We start from the raw sequence: 19,613 nt of genomic DNA, 5'->3' as shown, positions 1-19,613 counted from the left end.
TGTTTTTCTTTCTTTAATTTTTATTTTTTCCTTTAAACTGTTTTCTTGATGTTTTCTGTTTTTTTGACAGTGGCCATCCTAGTGGCTGTGAGGTGGTCTTATACGCTTTACAAGGGGAGCTGCCCTTCCGTCTTAACACTTTGTGCTGACAGGCCAATTCCATGTGTACTCTGCCTGCTTCCCTGTCCTTGGTAACTCAGGCATCAGCTTTTTGATAAGACACAAAACAGAAAGGAGCCTCTCCTCCCATACCCCTGGCCTGGGCAGTGGTCACTGCTACCCATGGCGCCCACACTCTCCTGAGAGCAGTCACTGCTACCCACGGCGCCCACACTCTCCTGAGAGCGGTCACTGCTACCCACGGTGCACCCACACTCTCCTGAGAGCAGTCACTGCTACCCACGGCGCCCACACTCTCCTGAGAGCGGTCACTGCTACCCACGGCGCCCACACTCTCCTGAGAACGGTCACTGCTCCCCACGGCGCCCACACTCTCCTGAGAGCTGTCACTGCTACCCACGGCGCCCACACTCTCCTGAGAGCTGTCACTGCTACCCATGGTGTGCCCACACTCTCCTGAGAGCGGTCACTGCTACCCACGGCGCCCACACTCTCCTGAGAGCGGTCACTGCTACCCATGGCGCCCACACTCTCCTGAGAGCGGTCACTGCTACCCACGGTGCCCACACTCTCCTGAGAGCGGTCACTGCTACCCACGGCGCCCACACTCTCCTGAGAGCGGTCGCTGCTACCCATGGTGCGCCCACACTCTCCTGAGAGCGGTCACTGCTACCCACGGCGCCCACACTCTCCTGAGAGCGGTCACTGCTACTCATGGTGCGCCCACACTCTCCTGAGAGCGGTCACTGCTATCCACGGCGCCCACACTCCTGAGAGCGGTCACTGCTACCCACGGCGCCCACACTCTCCTGAGAGCGGTCACTGCTACCCACGGCGCCCACACTCTCCTGAGAGCGGTCACTGCTACCCACGGTGCACCCACACTCTCCTGAGAGCGGTCACTGCTACTCACAGCGCCCACACTCTCCTGAGAGCGGTCACTGCTACTTACGGTGCGCCCACACTCTCCTGAGAGCGGTCACTGCTACCCACGGTGCCCACACTCTCCTGAGAGCGGTCACTGCTACTTACGGTGCCCACACTCTCCTGAGAGCGGTCACTGCTATCCACGGCGCCCACACCCTCCTGAGAGCGGTCACTGCTACCCACGGCGCCCACACTCTCCTGAGAGCGGTCACTGCTACTCACGGCGCCCACACTCTCCTGAGAGCGGTCACTGCTACTCATGGTGCGCCCACACTCTCCTGAGAGCGGTCAGTGCTACCCATGGTGCCCACACTCTCCTGAGAGCCGTCACTGCTACCCATGGCGCCCACACTCTCCTGAGAGCCGTCACTGCTATCCACGGCGCCCACACTCTCCTGAGAGCGGTCACTGCTACTTACGGTGCGCCCACACTCTCCTGAGAGCGGTCACTGCTACCCACGGTGCCCACACTCTCCTGAGAGCGGTCACTGCTACTTACGGTGCCCACACTCTCCTGAGAGCCGTCACTGCTATCCACGGCGCCCACACCCTCCTGAGAGCGGTCACTGCTACCCACGGCGCCCACACTCTCCTGAGAGTGGTCACTGCTACCCACGGCGCCCACACTCTCCTGAGACTGTGCTGAGCTTGTGCTGGTTTCCATCGACTGCCTGCTGCCTTCCATTGGACCCACTGATCGTGGTTTGTCTTTGGACTTGGTGATAGTATTTCATGCAGAAATTTTAAGTTTTTCTGTTGTCACACCAATCACTTTTTCCTGTTATGCCATAATTTCTGGGTTATCTGTTTTTTTATCTTTGAGACAGGGTCTTGCTCTGTCGCCCAGGCTGGAGTGCAGTGGTGCGATCATGGCTCGCTGCAGCCTTGATCTCCTGGATTCAAGCAATTCTCCTGCCTCAGCCTCCTGAGTAGCTGGGATTACAGGCGCTCGCCACCACGCCCAGCTAATGATTATTTTTTTTAGGGCAAGGACTCGCTATGTGGCCCAGGCTAGTCTTGAACTCCTGGGCTCAAGTGATCACCCTGGCCCCTCAAAGTGCTGGGATTACAGGTGTGAGCTACGGCACCCAGACTGTTTTTTTAATCTTTGACTATCTGCTGAGTTACACATGATCTGACTCTGTTTGCATTTGCTGTGATCAGTGGTCTTTTCACACATTTACCTGAAAAGCCTCGTGTCACAGCCTCATTTGAGATGAGCGTGTCTGTGAGCATGCCCATGTGTGCTGCACAAATCGCCAGCATGGTCCTTGTCCACTTTCACGTCTGGCTTTTCTCTTCTCTTATCTCTTCTTACCCTCCAGCTGGTTTGTGTATTAGGGATGTGATCCTCTGTCGCTTGTGGTGCAGATTTTCTCAGCTTCTAGTGTCTTTTAACTTGTGTGATGTACAAATGGTTTAAGTTTTTTTTAATGTAACTTAAATCTTTTACACTTAGTGGCTTTTTGATTTATTGCATGTTCAGAAAGGCCTGCCCCACCCCCAAGATTTTTTTTTTTTTTTTTTAAGCCCTGTATTTTCCTTATGGGCGTCCACAAGTCGGATTTTCTTTTACTTCCTTGGGCTGGCTGCACTTCTTCTGCGGTGTGGTGGAGATGGGTTGCCCGGGCCCCAGTGCCCATCTCGAGGCACTGTTCTCACTCGGCGTCCTGAGTTCTGCCTGTGCCTCTGGTTGTCTTTCACGTAGGCTTCTCTGGGTGGAGTCTGGATGCCCCTCCAGCCCCTGCAGGATGCTTTGTCTGCTGGACCTTCAGGGAAATGGCCTTGGATGTCTGGCAGCCCCAGGATGTCTGCTGGGCCCCTCGATGTACTGGGGTCTTCGGTGACGGTCACTGCAGCCCAGCACTTTCACCACCCTCGTTGTGCCTGTTCCCCTCAGAGGCTGCCCGCTTGGGCCTGGGGAGGGGGCCCGGTGCTCTGGGTGCCCTGGCCTTGCTGTCTCCCTAGCAAGGTGGCTGGGGCTTGGGGAGCGCTCCTCTGCAACCCTGTGCTGGGGGCAGCTGGCTCGGCCGGGAAGACACAGCTCCAGATATTTTGTTCAGAAAAGAAACTGCAGTGTTTATTTTCTTCAGAAAAAAAACATTTAGAAGATTTTTTTTAAAGCTCTTTCGTTTAGAAGGAATCTAGGTATGTTATTGTTTAAGAAAAAAAGTGTTTGCAATGTATCAGTCACCCGTTTCATTCTGAGCATGATTTATGTGAGGAAATGGTTTTTTTAAAAATTAAGCTGGAGATATATCCCTGTACGATGCTTCTGTGAAAATGCGGCTTTTGTCCGGCGCTGTTAATGCAAGTTGTAACAGTGTAATATGGGAGTCAGTGTTTACATGTTACATTCCTCTGCTGCAGTCAAAATAAGCCCGGAGGGTCTACAGTAGCATTTCTGTATTTTATCAGCTTGGGCTGGGGCTGAGGGGAGGCCTCCACTCACACTTGGAGGGGCTGTTTCTGCCAGATTTATTTGCCTTATAAATATTCCCCATGTTTATTTTAACTCGCCTTTAAAATGGAGCTGAAATTAATATGGACCCCGGGGCTGCTCCCCTGGCCCCTGAGTGCCTCCCGTAGTCGGGTGGGACATTTCTACCTGGTCCCATCCTGGAGGCCAGGTGCGCAACTCACGGTGCCTGGCATCACAGTGCCCCTCCTGCAGTGGGCACTCTGTCCCCTGGTTGGCTCCTCCACCAAGGAGGCTCCCTGTCCCCCTGGCCCCAGGCCCTCGGTGGGCTCTGCGGCGTGCACGAGGCCTCCCTCGTCCCTCTCTACTACAGGCACAGGCTGCCACCAGGAACTCCTTTCAGCGCACGTCTGTGTGGGGCCCACTGCCGGGAGCTCCAGATCTGGCGAGTGGTGCCCACAGTGGGGCCTGGGACCCAGCCTGCAAGGTCGTACCATGCCACTTTTGCCCCAGAGAGGCCACTCAGGCATCACAGTGCACCTCGGGCCCCAAGTTGGGAGCCCCCTTCCTCCTTTGTTTGCATCCAGGTCTTAGGGAGCCCAGGGCTGGACAGATGGCAGAGGCAGGGGGATCGTGTCCAAGCTCAGTCAAGGGGAGACAGAATTAAACAGTGCACTTCACTAAACAGCCATATGCTGGCAAAATGGGGCCATACCTGTTGACCAGAGTGGGCTGAGCACCTGGTTTGTAACCTAGGAGGGTGAGGAAGACGTGCAGAAAACTCAGAAAACTCCTGAAAAAGCAGTGTGAGCTTGTGGGTGGGTGAGCAGGACCCTTGAGTGCACTGGGGTGGGGCGGGGGACGTTCTGGCTGCCCCACTCCCATAGCCACGCCCTGGCGCAAGGGACTGTCCTCCCAGTCTTGGTGGGGACCCTGGGAAGGACTCCAGGTCGGCTCCTGCTCCGCCTCTGCCATGCAGATGCCCGCCTTGTGCCAGCCCGTTTGCCTTTTCTGCTGTGTTGTGTCTTTCCTTCTCTGGAACTGCAAGACAGGTTGAAGAAGAGAGGAGGTTTCTGGGGAGGTACAGTGACCCTGGGCAGGCAGTGGAGCCCCTCTGGGAACAATGGCCACTGCAGGGAGGCAGGGGTGCGGAGGGGCACGTGACCCCAAATGACTAGGCTCAGAGGGGGCATGCAGCCTTGCAAACCAAACCTTCCATTCCACAGAGCAAGCCCCCGGCAGGTGGAGGAATGTGGAAGGCGAGGATGGTGAGCCCACACCGGGGAGCTCCTTTACAGAGGCAGGCACTGGGGGTCGGGATCCAAGTGCAGCCAAGAGGAGCCCGAGGCCCAGAGGGGCCTGGCAATTAAGGGGGGCCAAGGAGCTGAGCTCCAACTCCAGTCCCACAGCCGCACAATCTTCCTGCCACTTCCTGACCTGGAGGGCTGCCTCCACCGGGAAGCCTCCGCACCCGGCAGGGACTTGGGCCCCGCCAGTGTGCCTTGTCTCTGCCTCTTGCACACCCACGGCCCTGGGCTTCGTCTTCTCCCTCAGTGCCAGGTTTTGGAGCTCAGGTGCCCTAACCCCAATATAGGGAATTGTGGTCCCTCTATTCTAGTCCTCCCTCTTGCTGTGTCTGTAGGTCCGCTTTCTGCAAAGCAGGGCTCTGAGCTGGCAACACTGGGATGGGGCCGAGGGCGTGAATGAGACCGCAGCCTCCTCTCAGGTCCGATAACGGAGGTACTGCTTCCCGGAAACAACCAGGGTCTGCCTGTTCCTGCTGCCAGCTCTGTAGCCCCTGCCCAGGTCCCCGTGGGGGTTTACAGAGCATGGGGCCAGCCTCTCCTGCAGCTGCCAGGCTGGCTCAGGGGCTGACCAGCCCACACACTGGGCCCTGGGGGAGGGGCTGCAGCCAGCCAGGCCTGTCCACCCTCTGAGGCTGCTCCACCAGCCTGCTGCTGTCTGTCCTCGCACTCCTGGGGCTCCAAGAGGCAGAGTGTTTTTATAACTTGGGCTGGTTTAAGGCTGCCTGTCAGTGTGTCATGGAAAGAGCTTTTATTTGACCCTTAGGAAGTCCGGAAGCCAGCCAGGTACTGCGATCATTTTTCTCTCTTCCTAAGCACAAGAGGGAAGAAGATAAATTTTATCTTGGGAAGAACCACAGCCATTTGGGAGAAAATTTAATTTAAGTGGCACATTCCGCTGGTGTGATGGGATGTCCTTGTGTTCAGCAATAGGGAGACCAGCTGTCCTCCTGGGGCTTGTTACCAGACTGCAAAGCCCCCGCCACCTCTCTGTGTGCGTCCCTGTGGCTAAGACATGACAAGGTAGGGCTTTCAGTGGCATTTGTTACAGGGCCAGCACACAGAGGCTCCGGCCCAGCATCTGCCCCTGAGGGGTTGGGTGGGGCGGCGGGGTTCCAGCCAAGCCGGGGAAGGAGGCCTTCGTAGCACCCCCAGCCCTGTGCTGCCTCCCTGGGGCATCTGCAGCTTGGCGGCCCATCTGGTATTTCCTGGGCTGGCAGGACCTCCAAGGGGCCAGGTGCCTCCCATGAGACTCACTTTGTGTGAGTATTCCCTCTGGAGAGCAGGCCTTCAAGCTCAAGAGGCAGATGGATTGCTCTTTAAGCCTAGGCTTCGTGGGCCTGAATTAATGCTTTTGTTTCTGCTTCCTCCCCCCATTCCAATTTTGAACAAGAAAGCCTGCCCTGTGATTAGGCTCATCCTGCAGTAGTTATTATGCCTCTTTGGAAAATGTTTGCACACCAAAAAGCACAGAGAGCTGAGCTGCTGGGATCACATGGAAAACTGATTTTTATTTGTTTTGTTTTGTTTGTTTTAGAGACAGGGTCTCACTCTGTTTCCCGGGCTGGAGTGCAGCTTACTGCAGCCTCAAACTCCTAGGCTCAAGTGATCCTCCTTCCTCAGCCTCCCGAGTAGCCGGGACTACAGGTGCATACCACCATGCCCCAGTAATTTTTTTAGTTTGTAGAGATGGGGACAAGCTGTATTGCTCAGGCTGGTCTTGAACTCCCGGGCTCAAGCAGTCTGTCCACCTTGGCCTCCCAGAGTGCTGGGATTGCACACATGACCCACCGCACCCAACCTCTGGGTCTTTTAATGCAGCGGTAAGTTGAGTGGTTCCAGCCCCCTACCCCCAGGTCCTGTGAGCTGGTCCCCTGACTTCTGTGGCCAGCACCTCTGACTTCCTGTGGCCAGTCATGGCTTGAGTTGGTTGCTGCACCACGTTCCTGTCTGTCCCTACCCCTGCTGGGCCGTGAATGGCCTGAAGAAGGTGTCTGTAGGTCCCTGTCTTTGGGTACTCTCTATCCCTGTGATCTGGAGGCTTTGGTGTCTGTCTTATTTTGCTCGGGCATTTTTTTACTTTAGCTGGTCTGAACGGAGTTCTCTGTTGGAATTCTCGTATCCTGCATTCTTCAAAGGGTAAACATTCACATAATTTGATCAATGCGGGGAGGCGTACAGTGAAAACCAATGCTGTCAATAATCCTTGCTCATGACAACAAGAAGAGGCCCAAAATGACCCTCCACACGAGCGAGACGTGAGCTTTTGTTGAGAGATTTCAGCCGAACACATAGGGTCAAGGATGCCCACTCGGGAATATGCCCACTGCACCCACCTCCTCCTAGCTGTACCCTCAGTTGCTGATTCAGAGCTGGCAGCTGAGGGATGGGGGCACCTGTGACTTTGAAGGTGGCCCTTGAGGCGGGAGCTTCTCCTGTGCCCCGTGGGTGCCAGGACAGGAGGCCCGGGCACTGGGGGACTCCGAGGGAGGGCCTGGAGAGTCACCTGCCCCCGCTCCAATCCAGGCCTGGTGGGTCAGCATCGTGTAGGAGGTGGGGATGTACACGTCGGTGGCAGAGACAGCAAACATTTGTGGCAAAATCAGGAGGGTGTGTTGCTGTATCCCTAGCAATGAGCTAGGAGGCCCGGAGAGCAGCCTGGCCCCCATCCTGCAGCTGCAGGGCCCATTCCTGGAGAAGGGTTGGCCTTCAGGGCCAGGAAGGCCCTGACGTGCAGGGGCCCAGCTGCCCACAGAGGGGATGCATTGGCCTCACTCTGCCAGTGCCTGCACAGCCCAGCAGGAAGCATCTAGCCCATGCACAGCCACCTCTGGGAGCAGGGGGCAAAGGGCACCACACAATGGGCTCTCGCCCAGTTACACCCTTGCATTTAGGGCAGGATATGCAAAGCAGCAGAGTTCTGTTTATATTTGCAGTAACTCATAACTTCATATCTTTTTTTTTTTTTTGTGATGGAGTCTTGCTCTGTTGCCCAGGCTGGAGTGCAGTGACACGATCTTGGCTCACTGCAAGCTCCACCTCCTGGGTTTACACCATTCTCCTGTCTCGGCCTCCCCAGCAGCTGGGACTACAGGCGCACATCGCCATGCTCAGCTAATTTTTTGTATTTTTAGTAGAGATGGGGTTTCACCATGTTAGCCAGGATGGTCTCGATCTCCTGACCTCGTGATCTGCCTGCTTCGGCCTCCCAAAGTGCTGGGATTACAGGCGTGAGCCACCGCACCTGGCCATAACTTCATATCTTAAACAAAAGCTTGTACCTTTCACTGCATATAGCAAGTCCAAAAAGAGTTTGGTTTCGCCATTTTGGAAGTGCACTTCCGTGTAGAGATGTGTATGTGGTGCCTATGTGTGTGTGCATGTGTGGAAGTGCGTGCATACCGTGGTGCCTGTTTCCCAAGTGTTGCCGGCCCTGAGCGGGGCTGGGAATGCATCTCTGCAATCCTGCTTGGCTGGGGGTCCCAGGGTCCCCCTTCGCTGTCCTCACATGCTGAGTGAGGCATGTAACCACCTTGTGCTCAGCCGGCCAACAGAGCTCTGTCTGCTCACCCTAATCCTGACAGTGGTGCGGTTCTGTCCCCAGCCACAGTGAGGAAGCTGCATGCCAGATGCTTCCCGCAGGGCACCTGCAGAATGATTCCAAGGGATACACCGTGTTTTGAAATGGAATTATATCATTAGTACCTGCTGGGATTAGCAATGACATTGGGCTTATCCGTCCTTACATCACCTCCTCTTGTTCAAAGACTGAAGGGTAATGTGGGAGCCCACCCACGTGCAGCTGCCCCGCTGGGAGTTCTTGTTCGTGTTAGGTTCTGTGCCCGTTTGCATGTGTGTGCATGCATGTGTCTACATGAGTGTGTGCATATGTATATATGAATGAATGTACCCATGCGAGTATGTGCGTGTGTGTGTACATTTGTGCCCGTGTAAGAGTATGTGCATGCAGGTGTGTGGCATGTGTGCACATACAAGTGTGCGTGAGTACATGTGCATGCAAAACACATGTGGAGTGTGGGGTTGAACAATAGAGGGTTTTCACTACAAGAGCAAATATTTCCAATGACTGCTGGTCGCAGTGTCCTGTGCTGCCTCCCTTGTCCCTGGGGTCCTTCAGTCCCCTCTCTGGGGAGCTGGCCCTCCTGGCCCTGCGCCTAGCTGTGATAGGGTTGGATGTGCCTCTGGCACATGGAAGGGCCCAGCCTTCTGTGGTCTTGAGAGTGCTTTGCTCAGATGATGTCTTCCCTTGCGGTCTGGTGGCCTCCCCATCCTGCCAAGCATCTCCCAGCTTCCACCCTAGCCCAGGAGGCCCCGGGGGGAGAGAAGGAAAGCCATGTGCTGCTCTGGTGGATGTTTCTCCATGCCTCCGGGTGCCTTCCAGGGGACAGGTACCACTTGTCACTGACACACACGCCCTTCACCACCAGGCGATTTGCTGATTCACAACATGCTTGACAGTGTAGCCTTGGAAAGTGGGCTTTGTCCCCTGGGGCAAGCTGTTTGAACAGTAACCTTGGAGCCCACGAGCTGACCAAGGGCCTGGGCAAAGGCTGCGGGGTTCTGCTCTGACTGCACTTGGTCAATAAGGGCCTCAGCTTTACATGTGCTCTCTCTCTGTTTCTCTAACAGGTTGGTGGTCGGGGCCAGCTGTATCCTTTGCAAGCGTGCAGGTGGCCGTCCTGGGAACTGGACACTCCTTCCCTTGAGTCCCTCCCTGCCACCCGCCCTTCCGGCAGGCTCTTTGCTGCCTCAGATCGGCACTTACTGGGCCTCTCGGCGTGGAGGATCTACTGTGCCTGGGGACAGTTTGAGGCTGACCTCTGGCCAGGGATTCCTGGAGGCTCTTCCTGAGCTGGGACAGCTGGACATGGCCATGAGGCAGCTGGGCTGTCCTCCCTCAAGAGCAGCCCCAGCCTGGACCCATTGCTTCAGAAGGGACAATTAGACAGGGAGGGTCAGGAGAGGAGCTGCAGGAGGGCCTGGGGTCAAGGGGACATCTGAGGGAGATGAAAGTCCCTGGCCGGGCGCGGTGGCTCATGCCTGTAGTCCCAGCTACTTGGGAGGCTGAGGCAGGGGAACCGCTTGAACCTGGGAGGCAGACGTTGCTGTGAGCTGAGATCATGCCACTGCACTCCAGCCTAGGCAACAGAATGAGACTCCATCTCAAAAAAAAAAAAAAAAAAAAAAGCCCCAAGCCGCTGGCTGAGAGCACAGGTGGAAGAAAGCAGCTGCCTGGCATCTCCCGTGGCTGAGGTCCTCCCTGAACCAGCCACTCCTCTCCATCCCAACTGGAATCCACCAGGATGCAGGCCTCGCCCTGGAGCCGGGATGGACAGCACATGGGAGCAGAGGCCAGAGGCCGGCCTAGTCCGTGGGTGCTGCTTGGCGGCTCCTTGCTAACCCCAGCCTGTGCACTTGAGATGTGGAGGTGGGGGTCTTGAGTTGGGAGCCTCCTCCAGGGCCAGCCATGGATGGGTGGGGTGTGGGCTGTGGCACAGGGCCCTGGGGTGTTGTCCCATCATTTCCAAAATTGGGATCTACAGTGCTCCTTAGCTGGCACCCCACAGATGTGGCCCTGGAGTGTGCTGGCTTCCTCACCGGGATTGGGCTGGACACCACCATCATGATGCGCAGCATCCCCCTCCGCGGCTTCGACCAGGTAGTGCTGGAGGCCCCAGCTCCCGCCCCTGTGGCTCTGAGGCCTTCCTCCCACAGCCCCCTCCCAGGCAGGTGCAGTGCAGTCATGGGCCACGAGTGATGCCTGAATCTTTAGAGATAACCCTTGAATTGGATGAGGAGGTTGTCCAGGAAATATGCAGACACTCGGCCGGAGCGAGGGAGGAGGGTGGCAGTGGGGCGCACAGCTGCACAGAGGCCTCCAGCCGACCACAGGCACAGTGAAGGGAGGCTCAGCCCAGCCTTGTGCCGGCAGAGCAGGTCACCCTCCGGGTCGTCCCATTAGTAAGAGGCCGGTGTGTGCTGCAGAAGTGTTAGCCCCACCTCAGAGACCCCCAACTCCCTGCTCTCCCCTTGCCTGTCCCCTCTGAGGGAGTGGGGGTGAAATAAGCTGTAATGTGTGAGCTGGGGTGAGGGACACAGGGCAGCGCTGGCTCCGAGACAGCCCGTGGGATCTTGGCTTCTGGACAGGTGCGCTGTGTACAGTGGCCTTCATCTGTGTCTGGGGTACACACACTCATGTGGCCAGCAGGACGAGCTCCTAGATTGGAGCAATAGAGATTTTCTTTTTTTAGCTAAAAACTCTTCAAGGGAAAGTCTCCTGTTAAAATAGAAGTCTGGAGTTGTCATTGTGGAGATGTCAAACACTCCATGACTGCCACGAAGGAGGCCCCTTGCAGGGTGAGCTGTGCAGATCTGCAGGCCCTGCTACAGGTCCTCGGCCGACCCTCAGCTCACAGAGCCTGAGGAGGTCACCTGAGGTGGGAGGAGCCAGGCCTGTCATCTCCAGACTCCCAGTGCCACCCCCAGGCTGACTCAGAGACGTGTCCCTCCACCCGTGTGGCCATGTGTTGTTCCATCCTAAAGCTATGGCACACTCCCATCATGTCCCTCAGTGCAAACCCACCGAGCCCTGTGGTAGGGACGCAGTGTCTAGGAAGGCCTCAGAGCCTTCAGATGTGGGGAGGGTGAGCTGGCAGTGGACGGAGGAGGAAAGGGGCCTGCAGAATGGGGGCCGTGCCCAGGCAAGGAGGATGCACAGTCTAGGCAGCCAGGCTGAGGGGCGAGGGACCCTGTGTCCTGGACAGGCTCCATGGTTCTCCCTCAGAGCCTGGGATGGCCATGCCCTCCAGGCCTCTGGAGGGGTGCAGGAGTGATGAACAGCCTGTGCGGCAGCCCCTCTGCAGCACAGCCAGCCCTGCCCGGCGGGCCAGACTCCCACACACGCCATCTAGAGCCAGCTGGCACACCCGCACAGGTGTCAGAGGATGTTAGCAGTGACTGTTTTTCTCCTCTTGAAACCAGAAGCTGTGGCCAGCTTCACTGCTGGTCCGTGCAAGTCCCCATTGTCCTGGGAACAGGGCCCCCATCTGTAGCTGGACTTGGGGCGCACAGGCCTCCTGGGCCGGGAGGGAGAAGCAGGACTCTCTCTGTCCCTGATCTGGACCTGAGCCTGCTGTGCCTACATTTCTAGGCGGGAGCAGAGTCTCCTACCTACCCTCCTGGCTCCTGGATGGCAGAGGGGCATGTTGGCCACATGTGGAGGGGTGGGCCAGGAGCAGGGGCCATCTTGTTGGACCAGGGCACAGCTCCTGGGGGAAGGCACGCTTCTCTGCCATTGGTTTTAGTGAAGACTAAGTTTTTTGTTTTTGTTTTTTAAAGAAATGTGTAGATGTACCAGGATTTGGTTGTTTTTCTTTTTTTTCTTTCTTTTTTTTTGGTTTGAGACAGAGTCTCACTCTGTCACCCAGGCTGGAGTGCAGTGGCACAATCTCGGCTCACTGCAAGCTCCACCTCCCGGGTTCACGCCATTCTCCTGCCTCAGCCTCCCAGTTAGCTGGAACTACAGGTACCTGCCACCACGCCTGGCTAATTTTTTGTGTTTTTTAGTAGAGACAGTGTTTCACCGTGTTAGCCAGGATGATCTCTATCTCCTGACCTCGTGATCCGCCCGCCTCAGCTTCTCAAAGTGCTGGGATCACAGGTGTGAGCCATCGCACCCGGCCTTGCTTATTTTTTCTTTTAGAGATAGAGTCTCACTCTGTCGCCCAGGCTGGAGTGCAGTGGTGTGATCACAGTTCATTGCAGCCTCAAACTCCTGGGCTTGAGGGATTCTCCCACTTCAGCCTCCCAAAAGGTTGGGATTACAGGTGTGACCGTATCTGGCTGATGAAGACTTAGTTAATTAGCATCTAGAGAGGAGCCCACAGGCTGAGTGAATCCTGACCATAGGGCCCAGGGTTGAGGACTTGGAGCCAGGACAGGGGCTAGACACTCCACAGAGAGCAAGAGGACGTAGAGCAGGGGGCAGGGTGTCTCACCCCGTCTTCCGCACAGACCCCTCTCCGCCCTTCATTGAGGCCTTCGAGAGCAGGGCAGGGCCAGAGCCTCTCTCCCACGGCCACCTGGTCTTCATGGCCTGTCTTCTTGTGCTTTGCAGCAAATGTCCTCCATGGTCATAGAGCACATGGCATCTCATGGCACCCGGTTCCTGAGGGGCTGTGCCCCCTCGCGGGTCAGGAGGCTCCCTGATGGCCAGCTGCAGGTCACCTGGGAGGACAGCACCACCGGCAAGGAGGACACGGGCACCTTTGACACCGTCCTGTGGGCCATAGGTAAGGGCACGTCGAGCCACACGCTCTGTCTCTGGTCTCCCCGAGGTGCATGGAGAATCTTTGCCCCACTTCCTGTCACCTCCCAGGGCTCCCCCATCCTGCTGGCTGCCAGGCGGGTTGGCCGCTCCCCAGTGCACCTCGAGAGCAACCGTGAAGGCCTGTGGGGCGGCACTCACACTAGGCTGTGCCCATCTTGCCATCCCCAGCACCTTGCATCTCTGCGTGTCTCCCCACCACCGTGGGACATGCTGGAAAAAACCAGAGAAGAGACTGAGACGGCATCAGCCAGGTGTCCTCATCGAGGATCAACTAGGCAATCATCCTCGCCTTCCCTGGCCCTTGAGCAATTGCTTATTAAGGTTTCAGCACATAAATCCTACTTGTCACCTTCCAGGTTTAAGTCTTGGTATGTTTCTTTTCTTTTTTTTTTTTTTTTTGAGATGGAGTCTCGCTCTGTCGCCCAGGCTGGAGTGCAGTGGCAACCTCCGCCTCCCGGGTTCAAGCGATTCTCCTGCCTCAGCCTCCTGGGTAGCTGGGGCTACAGGCGCCCACCACTACACCTGACTAATTTTTGTATTTTTAGTAGAGACGGGGTTTCACCATGTAGGCCAGGATGGTCTCAATCTCCTGACCTTGTGATCCACCTGCCTTGGCCTCCCAAAGTACTGAGATTACAGGTGTGAGCCACCGCACCTGGCCAGTATGTATTTTTTCTTTAGCATATTAAATGTTTTGCTGCTTCAGGCTTTCCAGCTAGGTTTTTTTCTTTTTTTGCGTGTGAAACAGGGTCTCTCTCTGTTGCCTAGGAGGAGTGTGGTGGTGTGATCATAGCTCACTGCAGCCTCCACCTCCCAGGCTCAATCAATCTTCCCATCTCAGCCTTCTAAGTGCTGGGATTACAGGTTTGAGCTACTGTGCCCAGCCAAGCTAGTTTGTTGTTTTTAACATAAAAATGATATGGATTTGAAAGTTTTAAAAATTATGGTGACATACACATAACATCAAATTCATCATCTTAAGCATTTTAAAGTATATAGTTCAGTGGTGTTAAGTACGTTCATATTGTACAAGCAGCATGACCATCCATCTCTAGAACTTTTCCATTATCTCCAAACTGAGCTCTGTCCCCATTAAACACTCACTCCCTGCTGCCCGGGCACTCACCCTTCACTGTGTGTCTCTATGGATCTGACTCCTCGAGGGACTTCATGTAAGTAGAATCATGCAGTGTTTGTCCTTTTGTGACTGGCTCATTTCTCTTAGCACAATGTTTTCAGGGTGCATCCATGTTGCAGCATTTGTTAGAGTTAGCATTTGTGTAGCATGTGCCAGCATTTCCTTCCTGTTGAAGGCTGAGTTGTATGTGTGTCCATTATCTGTCAGTGGACACTTAGGTTGCTTCCGTCTTTTGGCTGTTGTGGATCATGCTGCTGTGAACATGGGTGTGCACAAGCCGCCTGTTTTCAGCACATAAAAATGACACAGAGTTTTTAAAGTTCTGTCCAGCCTTCTCGTGGCTTTCAGTGTTTCCCAGTGGGTCCCTTTGGGCCTGGCAGGTCATCACATGCCAGGAGTGGCATTTTGCAGGCCTTTCCAGAAGTCACATTTCGAAGGCTTCCAAAGACATCACCCTTCCAGTGCTGGGCAGAGGCCTGGGCGTTTCCCGGCCAGGCGTGGGCTGGCTACAACTTGCTGGGCACAGTCTGGTCTCACCTTCTTGCTCTCTGTCAGGTGTAGGTCCGGTTTTGCATGGGGCAGTGGCCGAGCAGGTGTGGGGAGTGTGGACACAGCCAGGGGATACCTGTGCCCAGGCCTGGGCCGGGGCTGTCTGACGGGACTGGCAAGGGGCAGCTGGAGCCAACAGGGATCGCCCAGACACTGCTCTGTCCCAGGCCTGCTGCAGAGGAGGCCATTGCAGATGGGCCGCCGCAAGGAGGGCTGCGGGTCCTCGTCAGGGTGGGTGGCGGCACACACAGCATGCCTGCTCAGATGTCCTACCCACCTCGGTGCCTGGCCGTCTAGTTTAGGCTCCTAGTTTTCCCAATCACCCTGTCAACTTGCATGTTGAAGGCGGGAGCAACCTAGTCAGTGTTGTTAGTTCTCCGAGGCCTTTCTGTGCTGAGCCTGGTCCGTTGTCCCCTGCGAGAGCCCAAGATCAGAGCCAGGGTCCCTCTCAGATCACCTGCCTCCACCTCCATCAGCTAACCGGGCTTGCGTGGGGCTGGCCAGGGGTCAGTGTCTCCTGGGGGAGGGCTCCCAGAGGCACAAGCTGTGTCATAGGGTGATGCACTTCTGAAGCAGTCACTCGGAATGGGAAATCAGAAAGGAAACCAGCCTGGAGCGGCTGAGGCTTCACTTTTGTGCAGTGGACACAAGCGCAGAGGTGATGACCGGGGAGGACCTGAGATGCCTGAGCGCACGCAGGGCTCTTGGCCCGGAGGTGATCAGTCAGCAAGAGCAATGTTCTCAGCCACGTTGTAAAAGTAGATTTTAAGTAAGTTTATTATGATAAACACTACGAAGGATTAGGTAACATTTTGGACTCTGGAGTGTACTGATGGTTCTCATCCTAAACTCCACTTTATTTTTCTTTCAAAATTTATCCTCCTACTGTCATTCCCAAATAAACTCCACTCTAAAGGGGAGGTGGCGAGTTTCTCCCTCCCACCGCGCCCTAGCCCTCCTCCTCTGTCTGCTGACACCTCCGTTCACCCACAGCATAAGGGAGCTGTTGCCATTGAACCGAGGGGCAGCCCTCGACCAAGCCCATAGGGATGTAGCAGACCAATGGGCCGGGGGCTGTGTCCCCGGAAAGCCGGGGCGTCAGCCTGGCAGGCAACAAGCGAGGCCCCTCCCTACTCAGCAGAGCTGCCGTGGCCTGCACGCCCATCCTCCCTTGCTAGGAGTCTGTTTTATTTTTTTGTACTTTCAAAATGAGCATCCCCCAGACAGTCTGCCTGGCATGATTGATGCTGGGGGTGGAAGCTTTTCACAGTCCTTGGCCTCTGACCCTGCTTCCCGAGGGCGGCGCGGCTTCTGCGCGCCTGCTGGGGGCCGCTCGGGCATGTGCTGACTTCGCTGCTGCTCAGAGCCAGGTTTTGTAAACATTCAGGAGCCACTTCCCAGGTCAGCAACTGCGAGCGTTTTCTGCTGGTTTGTACGATAAGCCTTTAACCAAGCTTTATTTCTACTTGCAATAAAGGATGATCCACTCTGGGAGGTTAAAATAAAGCGCCCTAGGGGCGGCACAGCTGGCAATGCCAACATCTCCGACTCTGCTTCCTGTACCGGGTGTGCACTACGTCCGCACAAGCTGGGCTCCGACAGGAAGGGGGGATGCCTCCGTGCCCGGTGCACACACACACAGAAGGGGCCCAGGTGCTGCACAGAGCTCCCGTGTGGGGCCGAGTGCTGGCCCTGCCCGTTGCCCGTGTGCCTGGCGCCTGGCCGCAGCTGGCGAGGACCATGGACATTGGCATTGCGAAGTGGGCCCTGCAGTCTGGAAGCAGAGGAGGACCAGAGCCCCTTCCTCGACGCAGCCTTGATCTCCACGTGGTGGATTAAACATATTAGCAGTTAAAGCAGTTAATTGCTGTGCAGGGGGCCCCCGCTCATTGTTTGTCTCTGAATCACCCGCCCACACCAGGTGTCTCAGATAATAGACTGGGAACTTCAGTGAGGAGGATTTCCTGTCTGCAGATGTGCCGATTACAGCGCTGAGTGAAGACAGTCAGCCAGCACTGCTGCGGGCTCGAATTCGCCCGCTGAGTTAACCAGTTGTGGCCTGAATCCCTGGCTGTCTAGGGGAGCAGGGCCAGGCTGGGGCATCCTGAGCAAACGCCTCCCAGTGCAGGGGCTTCTAAGTGCAGTTAAGTTTAGATTTGGTTTTAAAGAAGGGACAGACTGCCTCTGGACTGCAGCCCTGAAAAACTGGAAGTTGAGATCTTCATGTGCCCCTTTGGCGTCCCCAGCCCCTCTGGATGGTTCTCTGTCCCTCTCTTGAGGGTGAGATGCTGAAGGCTCTGGCGTATCCCTCCCTGCACCACAGGAGTCCTGCCCATGGCCAGAAGAGCCAGCAGACACAGGAGGGGACTCGCTAAACCTGGGGGTCCCACAGCCAGGCAGCTGTTGTGCCTGAGTGCCAGGGAGGGTGGCCACAGGTCTGCCTGGGGCCTTGTGATATGGCAGGTGAGACGAGACCCAGGGAAGGAATCCGTCTGGATCTTACCCCAGCCACTGAAGCTATTTCCTCTTTGGGCTTTATCTTAGATAACTCAGAGATGTCCACCTGTGTGTAAACCAGCATCAGAGCCTGAAACACAACATGCATGGAGCATGGGAGCTTGGCTTCCCGGCTTCCTCTTGGCACCACACAGAGGCCACCCCCACAGCCTGCCCCTGTATAGTCTCCCCCACGTGGCACGTGTGCCTGGACCACAGCCAGAGAGACTGGGGTGCCCAGGAGATGATGATGGGGGCTGGCGGTGCCCAGGAGGGGAGCTGTTGCCAGGGTGGGCTGCAGCCCTGGGCTCCTCTCTCCACCCAGGCACTGTTTGCTGGCATGTACACGGCAGGCAACTGTCTTTGCTCAGCTGTGCTCGGCTGATGGCTCCCGTACACCGCAGACTCAGCTACACAAGTCCCTGCGGATTGTCCCTCTGTTGAGTGCCAGGCAGCAGGAAAGGGCAGAAAGCAAGAACCAAGCTGGGGATGGGTGGGAGCATCCTAAGCCTGGTGAGAGGGAAGGGGCGGCTCCTCCTGGATGCCCTCTGTGCTGGTGTGGGTGCAGCTGGGGCTTAGGGGCCGCGGTGGGTGTGGATGCTGCCCGGGCGAGGGGGCTGCGGTGGGCCCATCAGGACTGCTCTCAGGGATGCGCCTTGCTGCAGCTGCGTGAAACCAAGTTTGTGGCTATGCTCTTCCCGGTGGGGATGGGCCCAGCAGTGACCCTGGCATCCACATGCCTCCATGCTCTCAGGGTGGAGTGGCCATCCCTGAGCAGGTGACACGGATCGGAGGCCCCTCTTTGATAGTCTAACACCTTTTTATTTTAGTGCAAATTTAGTTTGTAATTAATGACATCAAGAGAGACCCAAATCTGCCTCCATTGTGAGTTTGATATTTTTTGAAGTGGGGCCAAGATGAACATTCATGGAGCTCTTCCTATGAGCGGTGGCTGCGGCCTTCCCCTCCACACCACGTGGCCCCGGGCGTGCGCTGCTGCTCCTGAGACAGCACTGTTGGCTCAGCCCTAGCTCATGGTGGTGCTAACACCTCACAGAGGCCAGGCCAGAGTAGCAGGAGGCAGCGCCCTGTGCTTACCCACCAGCCTGGTGCCCCACGCTTGGCTTGAGGGCTAGTTCACACTTATGTCCAGAGCCCACAGCTATCTGACAGGCCAGCCGGCACCTGCATACATGGTTGTCCAACTGGGTCTTGTTACCATGACAAATTCAGTACTTAATGATTAGAACTGAGTGGAAACCAATTAAAAAAAAAAGAACAACATGGTGAAAAGTCTTCTAGAGATAGGTCAGCACCATTTATGCATATTACCATGCACCCTCTAATGTCTGCAGGTGCCCTGGGGCAGCCAACCTGTTACAATTGCAATTATGTTAACAATTGTTAAAGGGCCGGGTGAGGTGGCTCATGCCTGTAATCCCAACACTTTGGAATGCCAAGGTGGGAGGATCATTTGAGCCCAGGAGTTCAAGACCAGCCTGAGCAACAGAGTGAAACCTCTTTTCAAATAATTAATAATAATAATAATAATAATAATTGTTTTTTGTTTGTTTTTGAGACGGTGTCTAGCTCTGTTGCCCAGGTTGGAGTGCAGGAGCGCGATCTGGCTCACCGCAACCTCCACCTCCCGAATTCAAGCGATTCTCCTGCCTCAGCCTTCCAAGTAGCTGGGATTACAGGCACCCGCCACCGCGCCCAGCTAATTTTTGTATTTTTAGTAGAGACAGGGTTTCACTGTGTTAGCCAGGCTGGTCTCGAACTCCTGACGTCATGATCCGCCCGCCTCAGCCTCCCAAAGTGTTGGGATTACAGGCGTGAGCCACTGCACCCGGTCTAATAATAACTGTTAAAGCAATAATGACCACTCGCCACAGAGCACGCTCCTTCCTGGGGGTCCTCTGGGCCTGAGCTGGGGGCTGCGCCGTACTCCAAGGCTGACTGTGGGGTCTTACACATCATAATGCACATAGGCAGCTTGAGTAGGAAAGGCCCTTATGCTGCCTGAGGGGAAGCTCACCCCCACCCCCCAAGGAGCCGCCCTGGGTATGAGACATCCCTGGAACGGCCTAGGGGTCCCTGGTGGCTGCTGGCAGTCACAGCAAGTGGCCAATCAGGTCCCATTGAGGCCCAGGGGCTCACTCATTTATTCAACTAACATGGCGTCTCGATGGGACCTGAGGCCAGCAGGGCAGGTGCGTCCCCTTCCCCCTGGTGGGCTCATAGCTGCGGGTAGGGGCCCGGGGCTCATTGAGAAGGTGCGATTCCAGAAAAAAAAAAAAAAAGAAGATA

At 56.0% G+C, this 19,613-nt stretch overlaps 1 protein-coding gene across 7 annotated transcripts in view, besides 10 other annotated features; it reads left to right on the top strand.

Annotated features, from left to right (window-relative positions):
- Positions 1 to 19,613, top strand: part of TXNRD2 (thioredoxin reductase 2) — a 66,297-nt gene that overhangs the window by 33,330 nt on the left and 13,354 nt on the right. For 5 of the 7 annotated variants that reach the window (NR_147957.2, NM_001352300.2, NM_006440.5 and 2 more), the window contains 3 exons: positions 9,421 to 9,440; positions 10,359 to 10,450; positions 12,908 to 13,082. Coding sequence is in view for 6 of the 7 variants with exons in the window: in NM_001352300.2 (NP_001339229.1) it covers positions 9,421 to 9,440; positions 10,359 to 10,450; positions 12,908 to 13,082 (287 nt within the window). In the remaining variant the exon portion in view is untranslated. Of the gene's footprint in view, positions 1 to 9,420; positions 9,441 to 10,358; positions 10,451 to 12,907; positions 13,083 to 13,288; positions 14,582 to 19,613 lie in introns of those variants that run through there. The other 2 variants (NM_001282512.3, NM_001352303.2) reach the window with 1 other exon arrangement.
- Positions 424 to 1,623: an enhancer, noted in NCBI's record as "BRD4-independent group 4 enhancer chr22:19894389-19895588 (GRCh37/hg19 assembly coordinates)". NCBI's record gives its function as "activates an origin of replication core promoter dependent on BRD2, P300/CBP, MED14 and CDK7 cofactors, and independent of BRD4, by STARR-seq in HCT116 cells {active_cell/tissue: HCT116}" and the evidence as "EXISTENCE:reporter gene assay evidence [ECO:0000049][PMID:35650434]".
- Positions 5,174 to 6,110: an enhancer, noted in NCBI's record as "H3K4me1 hESC enhancer chr22:19889902-19890838 (GRCh37/hg19 assembly coordinates)". NCBI's record gives its function as "activates a minimal SCP1, AML or CMV promoter by ChIP-STARR-seq in naive H9 embryonic stem cells {active_cell/tissue: H9 hESC(naive)}" and the evidence as "EXISTENCE:reporter gene assay evidence [ECO:0000049][PMID:30033119]".
- Positions 11,644 to 12,282: an enhancer, noted in NCBI's record as "H3K27ac-H3K4me1 hESC enhancer chr22:19883730-19884368 (GRCh37/hg19 assembly coordinates)". NCBI's record gives its function as "activates a minimal SCP1, AML or CMV promoter by ChIP-STARR-seq in primed H9 embryonic stem cells {active_cell/tissue: H9 hESC(primed)}" and the evidence as "EXISTENCE:reporter gene assay evidence [ECO:0000049][PMID:30033119]".
- Positions 15,394 to 15,598: a silencer, noted in NCBI's record as "fragment chr22:19880414-19880618 (GRCh37/hg19 assembly coordinates)". NCBI's record gives its function as "represses an EF-1alpha promoter that drives an FKBP-Casp9 reporter gene in an ReSE screen in HepG2 liver carcinoma cells {active_cell/tissue: HepG2}" and the evidence as "EXISTENCE:reporter gene assay evidence [ECO:0000049][PMID:32094911]".
- Positions 15,765 to 16,174: a silencer, noted in NCBI's record as "fragment chr22:19879838-19880247 (GRCh37/hg19 assembly coordinates)". NCBI's record gives its function as "represses an EF-1alpha promoter that drives an FKBP-Casp9 reporter gene in an ReSE screen in HepG2 liver carcinoma cells {active_cell/tissue: HepG2}" and the evidence as "EXISTENCE:reporter gene assay evidence [ECO:0000049][PMID:32094911]".
- Positions 15,765 to 16,407: a biological region, named in NCBI's record as "H3K27ac-H3K4me1 hESC enhancer GRCh37_chr22:19879605-19880113".
- Positions 15,899 to 16,407: an enhancer, noted in NCBI's record as "H3K27ac-H3K4me1 hESC enhancer chr22:19879605-19880113 (GRCh37/hg19 assembly coordinates)". NCBI's record gives its function as "activates a minimal SCP1, AML or CMV promoter by ChIP-STARR-seq in naive H9 embryonic stem cells {active_cell/tissue: H9 hESC(naive)}" and the evidence as "EXISTENCE:reporter gene assay evidence [ECO:0000049][PMID:30033119]".
- Positions 16,408 to 16,915: an enhancer, noted in NCBI's record as "OCT4-NANOG-H3K27ac-H3K4me1 hESC enhancer chr22:19879097-19879604 (GRCh37/hg19 assembly coordinates)". NCBI's record gives its function as "activates a minimal SCP1, AML or CMV promoter by ChIP-STARR-seq in naive H9 embryonic stem cells {active_cell/tissue: H9 hESC(naive)}" and the evidence as "EXISTENCE:reporter gene assay evidence [ECO:0000049][PMID:30033119]".
- Positions 16,916 to 17,424: an enhancer, noted in NCBI's record as "OCT4-NANOG-H3K27ac-H3K4me1 hESC enhancer chr22:19878588-19879096 (GRCh37/hg19 assembly coordinates)". NCBI's record gives its function as "activates a minimal SCP1, AML or CMV promoter by ChIP-STARR-seq in naive H9 embryonic stem cells {active_cell/tissue: H9 hESC(naive)}" and the evidence as "EXISTENCE:reporter gene assay evidence [ECO:0000049][PMID:30033119]".
- Positions 17,425 to 17,933: an enhancer, noted in NCBI's record as "H3K27ac-H3K4me1 hESC enhancer chr22:19878079-19878587 (GRCh37/hg19 assembly coordinates)". NCBI's record gives its function as "activates a minimal SCP1, AML or CMV promoter by ChIP-STARR-seq in naive H9 embryonic stem cells {active_cell/tissue: H9 hESC(naive)}" and the evidence as "EXISTENCE:reporter gene assay evidence [ECO:0000049][PMID:30033119]".

The sequence above is a fragment of the Homo sapiens genome, chromosome 22 (genome assembly GCF_000001405.40).
Source record: "Homo sapiens chromosome 22, GRCh38.p14 Primary Assembly".
Taxonomy (NCBI): domain Eukaryota; kingdom Metazoa; phylum Chordata; class Mammalia; order Primates; family Hominidae; genus Homo; species Homo sapiens.
Note: the sequence above shows the minus strand (reverse complement) of the source record. Positions and strands in the feature narration are given on the sequence as shown.